The sequence below is a fragment of the Homo sapiens genome, chromosome 18, assembly GCF_000001405.40.
Source record: "Homo sapiens chromosome 18, GRCh38.p14 Primary Assembly".
NCBI classification, from domain to species: Eukaryota; Metazoa; Chordata; class Mammalia; order Primates; family Hominidae; genus Homo; species Homo sapiens.
In genome coordinates, this window is record NC_000018.10 from 51,468,515 (window position 1) to 51,488,414 (window position 19,900).

General features: G+C 41.6%; 1 long non-coding RNA gene across 1 annotated transcript in view; it reads left to right on the plus strand.

Annotated features, from left to right (window-relative positions):
* LINC01630 (long intergenic non-protein coding RNA 1630) overlaps nucleotides 1-19,900 on the plus strand; it is a 170,428-nt gene that overhangs the window by 76,473 nt on the left and 74,055 nt on the right. The window lies entirely within an intron of this gene.

The window sequence follows — 19,900 nt, forward strand, 5'->3', positions numbered from 1 at the left end:
ACTCCTGCCTGTAATGCATGAGAATTCTAGTTGATTCATATGGACACCAACACTTAGTATTATTAGTCCTTTCACTTTTAATCATTCTAGTGGATGTGCAGAGATATTTCATTGTGGTTTTAATTTGCATTTCCAGGTAACTGTTGATAATGAGCATCTTCTTATGTGCTCATTGGTCATTCAAATAGCTTATTTTGTAAAGTGTCTTTTGCTCATTTTGAAATTGTATTGTTTGACTTATTGAGTTGTAGTGTTCTTTATATATTTTGGATACAAGTCCTTTGCCATGTATGTAAATTGTAAATATTTTCTCCCAGCCTGTGCTTTACGTTTTCATTTTTTCAGCAGTATTTTTCAGTAAACAAGAGTTTAAAGTCCAATTTGTCTTTTTTTCTTTTTATGATTTATGCTTTTTGTGTTCTATATTAAAAATCTTGGCTTCCCTCAAGGTCATCACAAAGATTTCTCCTATTTTTTTAATAGAAGTTTTATTTTCTATGTTTAGACCTATGATATATTTTTAATCAACTTTTGCATATAGTACGAGGTAAGGGTCAAGGTTTATTTTATCCATATGGATATCTAATTGCTTCAGCTCCAGCTATTGAAAACACTATCCTTTCTCTTCATTGAATTTCCCTGGCACCCTTGTTGAAAACCAAGTTACCATGTATTTGTCGTTCTATTTATGGACACTTTTCTGCTCTATTGATTTGTAAATCTTCCCCACCCCCACAATACCACACTATCTTGCATACTAGGTTTATAATAAGTTGTCATATCAGATAATGTACCTGGTCTCCTAACCTTTTTTTCCTTAAAAGTTATTTTGATATTCACGGTTTTTGCATTTGCATTTCCATTTTAGAGTATTTGCCAATTTCTATAAAATGCTGCTAGAATTTTGATTGAGATATGATTAAATCTGTAGATTAATTTGAGGAGAATTGATGTCTTAACATATGGAGTCTTCCAATCCCTATGTATGGCATGAATCTCCATTTATTTAAGTCTTTTTAGTTTCTTCCAGCAATGTTTTATTGGTTTCAGTTACACGTCTTGTATATATTTTGCTAAATTTATTCTTAATTTTTAAATGTTTTTGCATGATACTATATATGGTATGTTTTAAAATTTCAATTTTTAATTGGTTATTGCTAGTATATTGAATACATTAACTTTTGTATATTGGCCTTGTATCCTGAGACTTTGCTAAGCTCACTTTTAGATCTTTTTGTAGACTTTCTAGGAATTTCTGTGTATATGATCATGATGCTTGCAAATACTTTTAATTCATTCCTTCTAATCTGTATACGTCTTTTTCTGTTTCTTTCCTTATTGTACTGCCTAAGGTCTCCAGTATAATGTGGGACAGAAGTGGTGAGAGTGGACATCCTTGCCTTGTTTGCTATCTTAGCAAACAAAAAGTGTTGAGCTTTTTATCACAAAATATAATGTTGGCTGTACATTTTTTTTTGGTAGATGCCATTTGTCAAGTTGCTAATTTGCTGAGGGGGGTGTATGTGTATATGTGTGTTTTGCTGTAAATGGGTGTTGAATTTCACCAAAGTTTTTCTGCATCTATTGAGAAGACATATTACTTTTCCCTTTTAGTCTTTTGAATATGGTGAATTTCATTGATTGATTTTTGAATTCAAATCACTATTGTTTATTTCATGTGCATACGTGTGAAAGACCACCAAACAGGCTTTGTGTGAGCAATAAAGCTTTTTAATCACCTGGGGGCAGGTGGGCTGAGTCTGAAAAGAGAGTCAGCGAAGGGAGATGGGGTGGGGCAGTTTTATAGGATTTGGGTAGGTAAAGGAAAATTACAGTCAAAGGGGTTGTTCTCTGGCGGGCAGGAGTGGGGGTCGCAAGGTGTTCAGTGGGGGAGCTTTTTGAGCCAGGATGAGCCAGGAAAAGGACTTTCACAAGGTAATGTCATCACTTAAGACAAGGACCGGCCATTTTCACTTCTTTTGTGGTGGAATGTCATCAGTTAAGGTGGGGCAGGGTATTTTTACTTCTTTTGTGATTCTTCAGTTACTTCAGGCCATCTGGTCGTATATATACGTGCAAGTCACAGGGGATGCGATGGCTTAGCTTGGGCTCAGAGGCCTGACAGTTTCCATTCATAAACTCTTTTTGGCCATTGTAATAGTTCATTTTAGTGTCAACTTGATAGGCCCAAGGGATATCCAGACAGCTCTGGAAAAACATTATTTCTGGATGTGTCTGTGAGGGTATTTCAGAACAGATTAACATTTGAATCAATGGACCAAGCAAAGAAGATCTGCCCTCACCAGTGTAGGCTGGCATCATCTAATCCATTAAGGGCCCAAATAGAACAAAAATACAGAGGAAGCACAAATTTTCTCTCTCTCCCTTTTTTTTTTTTTTTTTTTTTTTGAGCTGGGACATCCATCTTCTCCTGCCTTTAGACATCTGAGTTTCTGGTTCTTGAGCCTTTAGACTCCAGGACTTACACAGGTGGCTGCTCCCTACCCTGCCAACCCATGACCCCTCTGGCCCTGGGTTCTCAGACCTTTGGCCTTGGACTGGAAATTACACTATTGATTTCCCTGGTTCTCAGGCCTTCAGACCCAGGCTGAGTTATACCATTGGCTTTCACGGTTCTGCAGCTTGCAGATGGTGCATCATGGGACTTTTTGGCCACTGTAATCACATGAGCCAGTTCCCATAATAAAGCTCGTCTTATATATCTGTATATATTCTACTGGCCAGTTTCTCTGGAGATGCCTAGTACAGCCATGCTGTGTTATACTTTATGTATATATTTAATTTGCTATATTTTGTTAAAGATTTTTGTTTCTATGTTTATGAGTATATTGGTGTGCAGTTTCATATTCCTTGTAATGTCTTTCTTTGGCTGATTTTAGTATGAAGTCAATGCAGGCTTACTCCTTGTTTTTGTTGATATCCTCAACTCAATCTGTCTGCTTGGACACCGGCTGTATGCTTTCTCTTCTTGACCTTTGCTCATTTTAACTCTGAATTTTATCTTCCCATTTGGTCCTGTGCCTGGTACTTATTTGCTACTAGTGGGCTTCTCGTTGAACTTCTCAAGACATTTGGAATCATCACACCTTTAGGAAGAGGGTCCAGGACCTGGTTTATCATGTTTTTCTCCATCCTACATACCAATTGGTCATAGCTTTCCAAGACCCAGAGGACAAATGTACTGGCAGATATTCTGAGAAAAAGAAATCAGATGAAAACTAATGTTCTAAGTTTCATGCGCATCCATGTGAAGAGACCACCAAACAGGCTTTGTGTGAGCAACATGGCTGTTTATTTCACCTGGGTGCAGGCGGGCTGAGTCCGAAAAGAGAGTCAGCAAAGGGAGATAGGGGTGGGGCCGTTTTATAGCATTTGGGAAGGTAATGGAAAATTACAGTCAAAGGGGGTTCTCTGGTGGGCAGGGGTGGATCTCACAAAGTACATTCTCAAGGGTGGGGAGAATTACAAAGAACCTTCTTAAGGGTGGGGGAGATTACAAAGTACATTGATCAGTTAGGGTGGGGCAGAAACAAATCACAATGGTGGAATGTCATCAGTTAAGGCTGTTTTTACTTTTGTGGATCTTCAGTTACTTTAGGCCATCTGGATGTATACGTGCAAGTTACAGGGGATGCAATGGCCTGGCCTGGGCTCAGAGGCCTGACACTAAGCAGGACAGATCCATCACTAAATTGTTAACCTCCACTTTCAACTCTAGGAACTTGAAATCCAAGTCTTTCTCTGATTACATCTTAAATCTTTATGTTCTCTGTGTTCTTTGTCTTCTCATTTGAGATGCTTCTTAAGCAATCTCATCTAGTGTCATAGCTTCAACTGCCAACTATATCCTAACTCTGCCAGAGCTACTCTCTCAGCCCAGGTTCCTCTGCTGAGTTCCACACCCATGTATTTCTATTGCCTACTGTATATCCTCTTCCTGAATTTCTATAGGGCTGCCATCTCAATGTATATAATTTTCTTTGTATTTATTTTCAGACTTACTCTTAACAGTTGTGTCCCATGGCCAAAACTTCATCTTTGAATTCTCCCTGACTTCATCTGCTGCCTGATCTCACTTACTGTTTTCATCTATTTAAAATTTCTTGATTTCATTTCCTTTCTTTTTAAATTTTCATTTATTGTTCAATGTTCCAAACTTACAGAATATCATATAAAATGTACAATGTATATGTACAATTTAAAAAATAATCTAAAACTCATGTTAAGAAATATATTACACTAATTTATTTAAATTTTTATTTTTAATTTTTGTGGGTACATAGTAGGTGTATACATTTATGGGGTACATGAGATGTTTTGATATAGCCATACACTATGGAATAATCACATCATGGAGAATGAGGTATCCATTCCCTCAAGCATTTATCCTTTGTATTACAAACAATCCAATTACACTCTTTTAATTATTACACTAATTAGAAATTCCCCTTTACTAGTGTATCTTCCCTTTTCCTCCAACCGGTGGTAACCACTGTCTAGATTTCTGTTTTAATCATTCTCTTGCTTTTATTTATAATTTTGCCACTTGGTTAGGTATTATTAAAAGATACATTATTAAGTTTTGAAACAATTGGTAGCAAGAACAAATACAATTGTGCAAACAGAATGTAGTAGATGAGTGCTCTCAGTAGAAGATAGACTGAAGAGTCTTAGATTCTCTGAGACTAAGAGTTGCCAGGTATTCTTTCTAGGACAGTCAATGAGCAAAGTCACAAGAGATTCTTGGAAACACAGGCTTACCTCGTTGAAGTATTTGGCAGGGCTCCCACGTAGGCCAGGTACTATATGTCCAGCAGGATTACAGGCATGGGAAGTGGGCTGCTGTGTATTTTCTTCTTCAAAGATTACCATGGCCTGTTTTAAGCTCTTAGGGGTAGGTCAAAGCTGAACTTTTCTGTAGAACAAAATGAGTGTCCTAAGCTGGTCCATGCAATAGGTATGTGAGGAGAATGAGGGCTTCATTAGCACTTGATCAGGATAAAACAGGTACAGATTAGAATCTGGACCAGAGTCTCCCAGGCATTCTGTTCTTAGGTCAACACAATGATACAATGACAGGGGGCATGCTAGTGTTGTCAATGTCTTGAATTACTCTGCTCTAATCTGCTCTTGTTGCCCTCTCTGTCTGATTCACAGCAGTCATTCTGGGGTGTTTCTTCCCTGTCTTCCTGGGAATTCTCTTCATTTCTTTCTTTGCTGCATTTGCTAATGTTTTAATTTACTCTGTGGCTCTCTATCGCCACCATCTAAGCATATCTTGAGAAAGAGCACATGAGGGGTTAAATTTCTAAGACATTTCATATATATAAATATTTTTATTTTTCCTTTATATTTGATTAATAATTTAGCTGGGTAGAGAATTCTAAGTTGGAAATGATTTTCCTTCATAATTTTGAAGGCATTGTTTCTGATGTTGCTGTTGAAAAGCCTGGAGCCATGTTCATCTCTTAGACTTTGCATGTAACTTGCTTTTTTCCCCCAAAAAACATGTAGAATCTTTTTTTTTCATTCTTGGTGCTTTGAAGTCAGTTTACTTTCATCCACTGTGTTGGAAATTCAGTGGGCTTTTTTGATGGGATAATCTATGCCTTTCAGTTCCGGGAAATTTTCTTGAATTATTTTCTTAATGATTTTCTCCTTTCCATTTCTCTGTTCTATCTTTATACAACCTCTGTTATTCAAATTTTGGGACTTCTGGATATGTCCTTAATTTTCTCTTTTCTGTTTTCTATCACTTTGTCTTTTCACTAATTTCTGGATAACTGTGGCAACTTTATTCTTTAGTCTTTCTACTTAATTTTTATTTTTGCCATCAAAATTTAACTTCATTTAAAAACTTTTTAAATTGAGGTTAAATTATACACATATAATTTACTATATTTACCATTTTTAAGTATACAGTTCAGTAATAATAAATACATTCATATTTTTTTCCCTCCCTGCTACCCTTCCTGGCCTCTGATGATTACAAAATTTGAGTTCTAAGAGCTTTTTGTTTTCTGAGTTTTTAAAAATTGTACTGTTTTCTTGTTTCATGCATCCAATGTCTTCACTTACCTCTAGGAAGATAATAATGATGGTTTCTTTCTCTTTGTGTATTGCCTCTGTTTCCTCTGGGTTCCTTTCTTTTGTGTGTTTTGGCCTCTATTTTGCATATAGGAGTGCCGAGTATCCTTCATTTGTTTTCCCAAATCCACTCTCACCCTTCTCTCTACTTTGAGCTTTGGGTGGCTGGCCTCTATGGACAGTATCAACAGGTCTCTGTGCCCTCTGGGTTTCATGTGGGCTTAGCCCATGGCAAGCACCAGGAGCTTGTAGGGAGTGAAGAGAATGATGTTGGAGTATTTATGGCCCTAGCTCTGTTTCTGTGGGCTTACTACATGCCAGCTGTGCCCCTTAATCAAAGGTGTTTGCCAGGCAGTCCTTTTCACACAGCCCTGTCTGTCTCTGGGTTCTAGTAACTTTTCTTCCCTCCCTCGTCCTTTCTGGCCTAGCAATGGCAATCAAGACTTAGTGTAATTATCTCCAGGAGAGGCCACTATCCCTTGCGGTTCATTTCTAGCTTCTAGTACTATAATAATATTATAATTTATTTTTTAGCCTCAAGCTTTCTCTGAATCCATTCTTCATTCAACCATTAAGAAGATGATTTAAAACAATTCTTCAGTGGTTTCTCACTGTCTGTGGGATAAAATTCAAGCCCGTAAATTGAGCTGAACCTGAGATATTATTTCTCTCAGCACTCTTTTCATGTATTTCTTTCCACTGGCACTGTATCCCGGGTTACTACCAGTCAGAGTTCTAACGATTGCACCACTACGCCGTGGCAGAGGTTATCAGTACTCACCCTATAAACATGGATGGGGTTCTCATTTTCAGCCAGCTGGTGGGTGATCCAGCTCCAAAATCTCATTTTAAAGTTTGCTTCCTAGGATCATTGCTAATAACAATAGTGTCAGATTAAATTCCCCAGGAAGCATATGCTGAGATGGGGACTGTTCTCGAGCATGAAATCAATAAGGGAGGAAGCAGAATTGGGCAGTGAATTGAATGAATTGCAAAGCAGTAGTTGCAATAGAGGCCTCAGCTGATCCCACAGGGAGCTGGTGGACTGAGTTGACCCTTCACAGTTATCTAGCATTAAAGCAATGGGCAAAAACTTTTGTAGTCACCCACCAGTCACTGGTTGTGGGACTGCCTCCTGAGAAGAGGCCTTAATCTTGGGTTTGGCTCCCTTTGGATGAAGCAATTAATGCTCACAGAGGGACCCAGCTGTAGCCAACAGGAGCCAACACTCCCAGCACCTTGGTCCCAAATGGGGAGTATGATGATCACCAGCTTCCATCCCAACATATAATGCCCTGTATGTCTGGCTCCTGCCTCTCTCATCAGCTTATTTCATGCCAGTCCCTATCACACATACACAGTCCAACTATTCTGAAGTACTCCTAGTTCGGTATATGAGCTGTAGATTTTCTCTGCTCATGCTGTTCCATCTACCTAAAATACCTTCCTCCGATTGCTTTTTGTGTTCCTAGTCGTATTTTAATCCTGCATGTCTGAGGTCAGAGTTACTTCTCTGATTTCTACCCCTCTGCCACAGTTTGAGTTTGGAGTCCCTTAAATTTGCTTTCAAACTCCATTCATACATCACAGATCTTACCACATGATACTGAGACTCCCTGCAGATGTATCTATCTCCTAACTAAACTCTTGTCCCCTCCCCCCCAGGCCAGTTGGCATCTTATTTGTCTTTGAATGCATAGCACCTGACACATGCTCGCAACATGGTAGATATCTCACGAGAGTTTGGTGAAGAAATTAACTGTTAGTGTCATTGCTTAAGTACATATTGTTTAATTTTTGAAATACTCATTTTCACTGGTTTTATAGTCTTATCAAGAAATGACACTCACATACAAATGTTTACTGAACCTCAACTATGTAGACATGTGTTGGAAGATTTTATGAAATAGCTCACATATCACTGTCTCTGGTCTCTCAGAGCTCATTATTTACTAGGAGAAATAAATTTTTAACAGGTAATTATTTATTATTCACAACAGAAGTTTAAACAAGATGTGTACATATCAATTGACTAATGGCTGTCTCTGGCAGTAGACGTTCATCTCTGTTCTTTTTAGACTGTAGCTGTATCTACTAGCTTTCTCTTTTTAAAAATAGGGTCACAATTTTAATCCAAAATTTGCAGATTTGGGCTATTTCTGTATGATCCAATAACTAATTTGTCAAAGGGCTTAATTTGCTATTTTTGGGAATTTGTCAGCTCATCTGTCTGAATTTTCACAATTGGTATTATGTCACTAGCTACCTGATATGGCTATTTCCCACTGTATCTAGCTTTCTATAAGGCAGTGCTTTCCAAAATTTAATGTACATTCTAACTGCCTGGAGAACTTTGCAAAATGCAGATTCTGCTTCAGAAGGCCTAGAGTAGAATCCCAGATTCTGCATTTTGAACAATCTTGTAGGTGTCACCAATGTTGTTAGTCAAGGAACACATTTAGTGTAGCAAGGCTCTTAGACACATTTTTTAAAAAAACTGCACTTGAAGTCATCTACAGTTGGTAGATAAATGTTCGCGTCTACCTCCTTACTGATTTTCCCTGGGAGAACTTTCTTAATAAATCTTCATCTGGTAATCAGCTTCTAAGCACTGAGACAAAGATACCAGACATCCCCCACTCCTTCCTTCTCTTGCCACCCAAATACTGATTCCTTAAGGTAACTGCTGGCATTAACCTTTATTACCTCTCATATCATAAAAAATCCTAATTTCCAAATTCTGCAAATAGAACTTTGGTTGAATTCATATCTTTAATCAATGAATAACATACATATTTTTTAATGTTCAGCATTTTATAAATGAATTTAGTAATGAAGAAATAAGCCTGTAGTCTTTTTTCCTTCTGCCTTGCATAACTCAGCAATAAACTTGTTCCAACTATTTGAACAGTTTTTCAGTTATACAGTTATTGTTTATTCAGATACTGAACTTTTTCTGTTGGGATTTTGCTTCTGGTTCTTAAGTCTTGGTGATGCCTAACCAAAGATCAGTCTGACAGTGACACAGCTCTTAGGGAAGGAAATAATGATTATTGCTTGTGGGGTGGATGTGTTCCCATGTGGAGTCAGTGTTAGTAATGGGCATCTGGCCTTGAGAAATGCACTTGCTTGGAGGAGGAGGAGGATGCAATGCAATTGAGTTAAGCTCTTACTGAGATTGCGGTATCTCCTTGGGATGAAAAATGATCAAATGTGAGACACTCTAGCTCAAAACTGGACAATGCTACCAGTGAATTTATCTCCAAAAAATAATTTGCTCTGATTCCTGGTCCTCCAAGAATACTACCCAAACTAGGGTCAAATGAGAGTTGGATGATTAAGGGTATTAATTTCTGAAGTTGATTTTAATCTACTCTGTAGCAGAAAACCTATTTACTTAGATGACGTGAGATTTGGGGGACAGCTCTGCTTTGGCTGGAGTCCTGGGAATTGAGAGTTCATTGAGAGGCATTTACATTTGTGGTGTTGCCTCCAGGATAAACAACGATGGCAACAACACTGACCACAACAACATAAACACTGCTCGCAATTGGGCTGAAGATAAACTGAATCCCTTCCATTGGTTGTGGAAGAGGAATAATGCGGGTATGGAGGGGTAGGACCACTGGGCAAGCATCATGGGAAGAAGGAAAACGGTGTCTCCTGGAGAAATTTGACTGTAAAGGGAGAAACTTTCTGTAGAGTAATCTAGACCTTGCAACAAAGCCTGTGGATCAGAGAGGAGCAGCAGTTGGTTCTGGTGGACTGTTATTTAAGCAGCCTTACCCATCTTCCCTTGTGGTGCCTGCAGGCTTAGGGACCCTTGTATACAAGGTGAACGTCATAAGTTGATGAGATCTTGGGTTTCCAGCAAGACCACTGTACCTCCTCCCTTTCCTCATTTTAAACACAGCATAAGTCAGAGGGAAAGAACATTGCTCTTATGGATTTTCACTGATTGCACCTGGCCAGTGGTGGCATCGTTGCTTCGTGTGCAAGGGCACCTCTGAAGGCCAGAGCAGGCTCTTGCCTACAAAAACCTGGCTTAGCTCATTTATGCTCCCATGTGGATAAAGGAAAGCACAAGGAGAAAAGTTACTAGGGGTTGAAAGCTCAGAGGTGGGCCTCTGGTTCTGGATGAGGGAAGACACAGGAGTAGGAAGGGTGTGGAGTGGGGAGGCCTGGAAGGTGACACTGGTGAACAAAGCTGTGAGGGATCTGGGCTTCCCAAGGGTGCTGGGGCTGGGAAGAGAGGAGGAGAGAAAAGGAGGGCCAAGAGGAATTCGAGAATTGCTGGTGGAGACTGGCTGCTCAGGGAAGCCAGGAGAGTGTAATAAACCACGAACAGGAGAAAGTCAGAACATTTCTCTGAGTACATCTTCACATGGAAGATGGAAGTAAGATTGATGCAGAGCAGGCGAGCCCCAAAATTGGAGCTTAGCCCGGGAGTGTTCTTGGCTTCACCCAGGAAAGAATTCAAGGGCGAGCTGGTGGTGTTGGCAACTTTTATTGAAGTGGCAGTGTACAGCATCGGCAGAGGTACTGCTCCTTATGGAGCAGGGCTACCCCGTAGGCAGTGCTCCCAGAGTAGCAGCTAAAAGGCAGTTTTGCAGTCATATTTATACTCACTTTTAATTATATGCAAATTAAGGGGCAGATGCAGAAATTTCCAGAAAGGGTGCTAACTTCCAGGTTGTTGGGTCATTGCCATGGAAAGGGATGGCAACTTCTGGGTGTTGTCATGGAAATGGTAAATTGCCATGGCACACTGGTGGGCATGTCTTATGGAAAGCTACTTCTGCCCTGTCCCTGTTTTAGCTAGTCCTCACTTTGCTCCAGTGTCCAAGTCCTGCCTCTGAAGTTGAGTGTCACCTCCTGAGTTGAGTTCCACCTTCTACCTCAAGATGACCATGAAAGAAAGAAAATAACCCAAGGGTCTAGGCTAAAGGAAGAACCAGAGAGATAACTGGTATGAGAACAGCATGAGTTTTGGGAAACTAGTTATGCTTTAAACTCACATCAAGCTGATTTAATGAAATATAAGTGCATATGCATATAACTTATATGAACTATATTATCAATTTTGAGATCCCAACACACTGTTATACAACTGTGTGTTCACTGAAATGGCCTTGGCCGTCATACAGTAGGTTCATTTGGGGAAAGAGAGGGAAATAGTTGTAGTTCTAAAAGCGAGGTTCTTAGAGGGGGAAAGGCCACAATTTAATGAGCAAAATTGTCAACTTATAGCCTTATCAGGTGTTCAGCCTTACGCAATGTGCTGGAAATTCAAAGGTCCCTGCTCTTAAATGATGTTGTCCGCTAGAGGGTCATAGCAACCACGTGCTAGGATGACCAAGGGGAAGGAGCTGAAAGAATCCATGTCAGAGGCTGGATGGTACACAGATTGGTTAGGGACTGTCCAGAAGATGTCTTCCAGGCATATTCATTGCATATCAGGAAAGATTATCCTACGAAAATATTTCAGATGTATAAAAATTTGTAAAGGATAAAACATTGGGTACTTATGTGCTCATCACCCAAATTAAGAAACAAAAACAAAAAACACAGATAAAGTCCCTTGTGTAACCATTCCTGAGACATCTCAGTGAGTTTGCACTTGTCTTTAAGATCCTCAATGGGCTGTCTTCTTATAGGACCTAACATTTGCAGGTCCTTGGATGAATTAGGACTGTGATTGTTGAGGGGATTATGAAATAAGGAAGGTTAGTCCCCAAAATACCTAACTGGAGGAACCTCTCCCCTTTAAACTGGAGTCTTTTTCTTACAGCTCAGAACTTGGGGATCAAGAGACCTCCTGCCTAATCCCAAAGCTTGGGACTTGATTTCCTGTGAGGCCTGGGGTTTGAAATAATCCAGGGTAGAAATAAGAGTGTAAAGGAGCACTTAGTCATCCCCTAAGCAGGCCTAAGCTGCTTATCTATGTTAGAAAATAGGAACTTTCAAAGGGAACAGTTGTCTCCCTTTGAAGAAACTGTCAGTGGAAAAGCTTTTAAAAATAATTTCCTTGTGAAACGCATAATGCTCTTATGCATAACTCTCTGACACTGCTGTTTAGCAGACTCTTCCATTTGTATGAGCTCTGGAATATGAAACATTTCTTGTGCAGACTCAGAAAATAGCTTACTTATCACACTGTGCCTGTCAGCTGCATTGTAGGTGCCAGCCTAGTGCAGTGGTATGATGGGTAAGGCCGGTTCTGGGTGATGTCTGTGCTGCTGAGATCAGGGTCTTTAGAAGTCATGGTGTCTGAAGGTTTAAAAAAGAGCAGATGGGTTAGCAGCACTCTGCCTGCCTGCCATTCTCAGAGGTCTGGTGGGAGTATAGTTCTGTTAGGTCCTCTGGGCTGGGAAGAGCCTGCCTGGGAGGTTCCACTGGAGAGTAACAATGATCCAGGATAACACATATCTCTTGTTTTTGGCTGTTGCAATCTGCAGCAAGGGCGTAGCTGGAGGGTTCCAGAAAGATTCAGCAGGTTTGAGGACTCACAGTTCATTGGATCATTTGACTAAATTCCACAAAATTATTGTGAAAATAATAGCAGCGTACTATTATTGAGCACTTACTATGAAAGCACAAACAATGCACGGAGCTTGTATTTTTTAACACATTATCATATTGATTCTTTTTTTTTTTTTTTTTTTTTTTTTTTTTTTTTTTTTGAGACGGAGTCTCACTCTGTCACCCAGACTGGAGTGCAGTGGCACCATCTCGGCTCACTGCAAGCTCTGCCTCCCGAGTTCACGCCATTCTCCTGCCTCAGCCTCCTGAGTAGCTGGGACTACAGGGGCCCGCCACCACGCCCAGCAAATTTTTTGTATTTTTTAATAGAGACAGGGTTTCACTGTGTTAGCCAGGAAGGTCTCGATCTCCTGACCTCGTGATCCGCCCGCCTTGGCCTCCCAAAGTACTGGGATTAGAGGCGTAAGCCACCACGCCCGGCCATATTGATTCTTATCCCAAATGCTATTAGGTAGTTTTATTACTCTCCACTTTAGAAATGAAGAAGAGGTTAAATAACTTTCCTAGGGCCACACAGTCTAGAAGTTGCAGGGCTAGGGTTTGAATGTAGGTCAATTGGCTTAAAAGTCTGCATTCTTTTCACCTTGTCAATGATTCCTTAATCAGTGTGCCTAACAAAAGTCAGAGACTTGGTCCCTATCCTTATGAGATTCTTATTTATTAGGTCTAAAGTGGGGCTGCATTTTTAATGTACATTTTAAACACACTCCACAGTTGATTTTGATGCAGGTGGTTGAAGTCCTGTCTTAGTCCTTTTTTGCTGTTATAACAAAATACCACGAACTGGGCAATTTATAAACAATCAATATTTATTTTCATGGTTCTGGAGACTTGGAAGTCTGAGATCAAGATGCCAGTAGGTTTGGTGTCTGGTGAGGGTTGCTCTCTGCTTCCAAGAGGATGCCTTGTTGCTGCATCCCAGAAAGGACAAATGCTGGCTTCTCACATGGTAGGAGGGATAAAAGGGCAAAAGAGAAGGGCCCTGTTTAACTTTGAGTTTTTGTTTTGTTTTGAGACTGAGTCTCACTCTGTTGCCCAGGCTGGAGTGCAGTGGCACAATCTCGGCTCACTGCAATCTCTGCCTCCTGGGTTCAAGCAATTCTCGTGCCTCAGCCTCCTGAATAGCTGGGACTACAGGCATGAGCCACCACGCCCAACTATTTATTTTTATTTTTTTTGTTTTTGTTTTTGTATTTTTAGTAGAGATGGGGTTTCACCGTCTTGGCCAGCTGGTCACAAACTCCTGACCTCAAGTGATCCACCCGCCTCGGCTTCCCAAGGTGCTGGAATTACAAGTGTGAGCCATTGCGCCCAGTCCATTGAGTTATTTTATAAGGGTGCAAATCTCATTCATGAGCCGGGAGCCCTCATGACTTAATTGCTTCTCAAAAGCCACACCTCTTAATACTGTTGCAATGGTATTAAGTTCCAATATGAATTTTGGAGAGAACAACCATCATTCAAACCATAGCAAGTACCGTTACTAGAGACTAAGTGTTTATGTCCCCCCAAAATCCCTCTGTTGAAACCTAGGCCTTTGGGAAGTGATTAGGTCATGAGGGTGGAGCCTTCATCAATGAGACCCAAGATTAGTCTAATTAGACTAGTGGTGGGATTAGTGGCCTTATAAAAGAGACCCCAGATAGCCCCCTCACCCCTTCTATCGTGTGACAACACAGTGAGAAGATGGCTATGTCTGAACCTGGAAGGCTTCACTGGACACTGAATCTGCTGTGACTAATCTTGGACTTCCCAGCCTTCAGAACCATGGGAAATGAATTTCTGTTGTTTATAAGCCACGCAGTCTATGGTATTCTGTTGCAGCAACTTAAATGGACCAAGACAACCACACTTGAAGAAACACTGGAATGTGCCTATACCAATGGCCAAGCCATTTTCAGGGCATCTGCAGCCATGTAGAAGCAGAGAATCTATCACAGAAAGTGGGGTGTTAACTCAGATGGGTTAGTTTCCCTGTCCAGGAGACCCACAAGGGGTGCACTTCAGCTTCCCAGTGGTTTTGGTTCTAGGGTGGGGTTGGCATGAGTGCGTGTTCCCAGCCCAGATCTCTGGGTCTGCTGAAAAGAAGCCCAAAGAAGTTTTCTGGATCTTCTCTTCTGTCTATCTAGTCAAAAACTCTGGGTGACAGCCAGTCACATCTGGATTTCTTGGGCCTTCCTGTACACCATTGTCTCAGCTTCAAATCCACATATTATAATTGGTTGGAACTGAACTGATTTTGAGCAGGATACATGACTTTATTTCTTGGCAACATGCTTCCAATGGCACATTCTCCAGCCATTACTGGGGAGCCAGTGGGACCACTTCCACCTTAGAACGAGGCCTGCAAGGAAAGAGAGTGCAAATCAACCCTTCTGGGTCTGGCACAAAGTAAATTCTCAGTAAATACCAATAGAATGATTTCTCCTTAAGAAATAAATAGAGCAGGTCAGTCTCCACAGGTCCTCACCCAAGCAGGTGGGAAAAGTCAAATTGGCAGGGGTCCCCATATTCCCTACCTCCATCCTTCTCTGCTCCATAGCACTAGCCCTTATTTTCCACCACAGTACCGAGGTGCCCATTGAGGACCCTCCTGGAAATGGAGGGTCATGGAAAGGAAGAGGTGTTTTCTGATTCAGTACCATTACACTAGTTAAGATGTTCTGGGTTGTGATGGGTTGCATAACAGAATCAGGAAAACTCCCCGTAAATTGATACACTTGGCTGGGTGCGGTGGCTCACACCTGTAACCCCAGCACTTTGGGAGGCTGAGGCGAGCAGATCACTTGAGGTCAGAGACCAGCCTGGCCAACATGGCAAAGCCTCATCTCTACTAAAAATATAAAAATTAACCAGACGTGGTGGTGAACACCTGTAGTCCCAGCTACTCAGGAGGCGAGACAGGAGAATCACCTGAACTTGGGAGGCAGAGGTTGCAGTGAGCCGAGATTGTGCCACTGCCCTCCAGCCTGGGTGACAGAGCAAGACTCCTTGTCAAATAATAATATAATTATTATTATAATTATAAAATAATAATAATAATACACTCAAATTCAGCCAGTTTTCACCCTGGCACATAAAAGATATGGCTGAAAAGCCACCTGTTGAGAAGCTCTGGGAGATCTAGAAAACTTCCAGTCAAAGCTGTCTGACATGTGTCTGATTTTCACAGGATCTGGTGATTTATCGGCTAATACAATATAAAATGTCCATGATATACTGCGCTCTCCTGGGGAGGTTCACATTTTAAAGGAGAAGGCATGAGAAAAAAAGACAATACTTTAACAAAAGCATTCCAGGAAGTGATTGCAAACGAGGTAGCTAGCAGGAAATGCCTTGGAAATAAGATACAAGTTTCAACCATTCAGATCAGAGACCTCAGCAGGAATATCCTATAACTTATCCTGTTGTGGGCCCTGCTACAAATGCCCTGCGGCTCCCAGGCACAGGTAGGCCTTCCCTGAGTTTCCAGGTGGGGTTGGACGTATTGAATCTGAGCTGTGGATCCTAGCTGCGGCGGTCACCTCTGCAGCCTTCTGCTGCGGGAGATTCCTGGCTGCACAGGGTCGTCCTCCTTAGAGTGGCCTCTCTGTGGCATTCAGGTAATGTGCATCCCCAGTTGGTCTCTGGGAGATCATCCAAGCAATTTTCAATGCACTAGAGCAATAGTTGTCTGTTGGGGCTGATTTCCACTCCTCGCCCCTCCCCACCAAAGGAATATTTGGTAATATCTGGAGACATTTTTGGTTGTCATAACTGGGATGGGGGCTGGTGATGTTGCTATTGGCATCTAGTAGGTAGAGGCCAGGGATGCTTCTAAACATCGTACAATGCACAGGACAGCAGTTATTCAATCCAAACATCAATAGTGCTGAAGTGGAGAAACACTGCACAAGCAGAAGCTTACTGGGAGATACACACACATATTCTATATACCTGGGCAGTGGGGACAGGCGAACAGCTGCAGTCAGGGCTGGTGTGGGATTCTGCTTCCTCATGCACATTGGGAACAGTCTGAGCTCTAGCTGAGATATCTAAATCCAGTGACGGGAAGAAGCCCTGCCTGTCATTTCCCTTTAGGGATGACAAGAGAAAACTACAGTGCAGCCTGCTTCTTTCTCCTTTTCCCCAGGGCTCCCTGGAGGAGGGAATGCATCCCTGCTCTCAGGCCTGAATGTCCTGGATGAAATGGAAAGGCTGTGGACAGGCTGTGCGCTGGGCTAGGAATGGCCCCCGTTCATCTTTATGTTCATTTCTGGAGAGGGTCCTTAGCCTGCAAGGTTCTTGGGGGCAGAAAGGGAGTCAGATTTGCTTTGGTCATAATTGTGTTCACAGCTTTGAGCACAGAGTTTGACACATACAGAGTACTCATTAAATATCTGTTGAACTAATGGATGCGAGGATGCCTACGGAAATTGAATAATTTTCAGATGTTTTTCACTCCAGACTCTGGGAGCAGCTCCCGGTGAAAGAGAAGAGAGGCGTCTGATGGAGGAAGTAGGAGCAGGCTTTCATTTTCCCTCTTGTCTAGGCCTGGCTTGGTGCTGTGCCCTTCAGTTCATTCAATGCGATCTGGTCCTTCGCACACAGGCTTTGTAAATAGAAGTATCTCTGCCTATGTCCTGCTCCCCTACTTCCAAGCAGTATAAGGTTGGTCTAGTGACTTACCCTCAGTGAGCCTCTCTTGCCTCATCTGTAACTTAGAGATAATAGCAGTTCTCCGCTTGGTTCTTAAAGTTTTAGAGGATTACATGAAATAATGCATAATGAGTAAAGAGGCCAAGAGATTTTCCCAAGAAGCTTGTAGTTGGAGGGTCACATAGAAGGGTAAACAAGCAAAGATAGAACAATGTCAGTGTCACAGCAGAAACATAAATGAAATAATATATGCAAACTCCTAGCCTAATGCCTGGAACTTGAGAGGGGATTCAATAAATAGGAGTTCCCTTCTCCTTATGAAAGTGCCATGGAACTCTAGAGGAGGGATGGGCATGGGAGAAAAGCTAGGCATACATTTTGAGCCATAGCAGGAGGAGGTTAAACAAGTTTATATTTGAGGACCTCAATTTGCTGCTTGTAATAGAGGACAATGTCATTTCCAGAGGGAAGGAAGAAAATGCAGATAAGATTTGGACTTGGGAAGGGTGGGGAGAGTATGGGAGTTCATGTGGGAAACGGGGAATAGAAACGAATGGGAATGAGAATGTGCATGCTAACATACAGCTAAGATTGAACTTAACTTTTTTTTTTTCTTCTAGAGAAGTATCTAGGCCTTTTCCTGGTTTTCCACTGCACTATAGATCCATGGTTGCAAGAGGCAGGCCTTGTGCAAGTTGAGCTGTCAAGAGGGCAAGGATGTTGATATCATTGGTGAGAGCGCAGGTGACTTAGTGTGGTCTGAGGTGGTTGGAGAGGATTGTGAATCCAGACAGTGGGGAGCAGATGAGGAAAAGGAGCTGGTGGACTGGGACTATGAGGAGGGAGGGAGAAGGGAAGAAGGCAAAGTAGAAGGGCAGGAAACTGGGCTCAGACAAGATGATCGCAGAGTTTTCTATTTTGCAGAAATAGAAGTTCTGGCGGGATAAGATATTCATTCTGTAGTGAGGCTGTGTGAATGGGTTGCTGAAGGAGACGTGAGGTCCTTGGGCACTGAATTTACCCAGGGTGAGGGCAGAGGGTGAGGCAGACTGGAAACAGAGCCATGTGGAAAATCCTTGCTACTTGTTATGGATTGAATTGTTTCCACCAAAACATAGGTTGAAGTCCTAATCCCCAGTACCCCAGAATGTGAGCTTATGTGGAGATAGAGTCACTAAAGCTGCAATTAGGTAAGTTAAGGTGAAGTTATCCCAGGGAAGGTGGCCCCAATCCAATATGACTGGTGTCCTTGTAAGAGGGAAGTCCACGTGATGACCCAGAGATACACAAGAAGATGGTCATATGAGGACAGAGGCAGAGACTGGGGTGATGCAAGGAAGGATTCACCCCTGCAAGTTTCAGAGGCAGCACCGCCCTGCTGACACCAGGATACTAGATTTGAGCCTCCTGAAGGCGAGAGGATAAACTTCTGTTATGTTAGGCCGGTTAGTCTGTGGTACTTTGTTACAGCAGTCCTAGGAAATTAACACACCCCTGTTCCCCCTTGATTCAGCTCCACTCATCCTTTAAGGCCCACTCAGCCTCAGCTTCTCCAGCAAGCCTTTCCGATCCCACTGGTCACACTGACCTCCTCTGTCTGCCTTCTCAGAATTCCAATGATGCTTGAAGCCTGGCACAATTATGCATAATTTTGGCAGGTAATTTCAATCTGTTTTATGATTTTTCTTCAGCTCGATTCAAGATTTGTCTTTACCTAAGGTGTAAGTACCTGAACTTCTTGAATTTCTCGCACCGCTTAAGGCAGTGCTCAGCATCGATTAGCTCCTTGCTCGCTACTTGTGAACATCTTGCTGGCAGTTATGTGATACAGTTTCAACTTGATCCTCTCATCTAGGTCACTTGCAGTGCACTTTTCTGGGGCGCCACTACCCTGCTGGGGTTTGAATACTAATAGGCTTGCTTGGCTCATTATGGAAAACTATAAAATGCACAATAGTCTGAAAAGTCATAATGTATTTTTTTGAGTTGAGAGCAATGTTTTTTAACCATGAGAACAATTAAAATGCAGGAGTGCTCAGTTTTAAGAAAACCCCAATACCAAAGTACACACACAACTGATTCAATGGTAGAGGGGTGAGAAGAAATAATTATTAGCACAAGGATTAAAAAAAATCAATTACCTTATTCTTTAGTGCATCTTTTTTTTTCTTCTTTAATAACTAAAAAATTGTATTTATACAGCTTTCTGAGTGCATGTATTGTATAAAATGAGGTACAGTTGTACTGTAAATGAACAAAACTTGGGAAAATTAGGAGGCAGAACCTTTGTATAAAAGGGCTTTATGAATAAATACATGCAGGTCTGGGCAGATAATATCCTTGAAAGTTTGCCAAAAACTGGTAATGGCGATTGTGTCTGAAGAGGGAACTGGAGAACTAGGGGCCAGCGGAAGGAAAGAGAGGGAGCCTTTTCACTTTACGCTGTTTTGTGTTGTTTAATTTTTTTTTTTTTTTTTTTTTGAGACGGAGTCTCACTCTGTCGCCCAGGCTGGAGTGCAGCGGTGCGATCTTGGCTCACTGCAACCTCCACCTCCCGGGTTCATGCCATTCTCCTGCCTCAGCCTCCCAAGTAGCTGAGACTAAAGGTGCC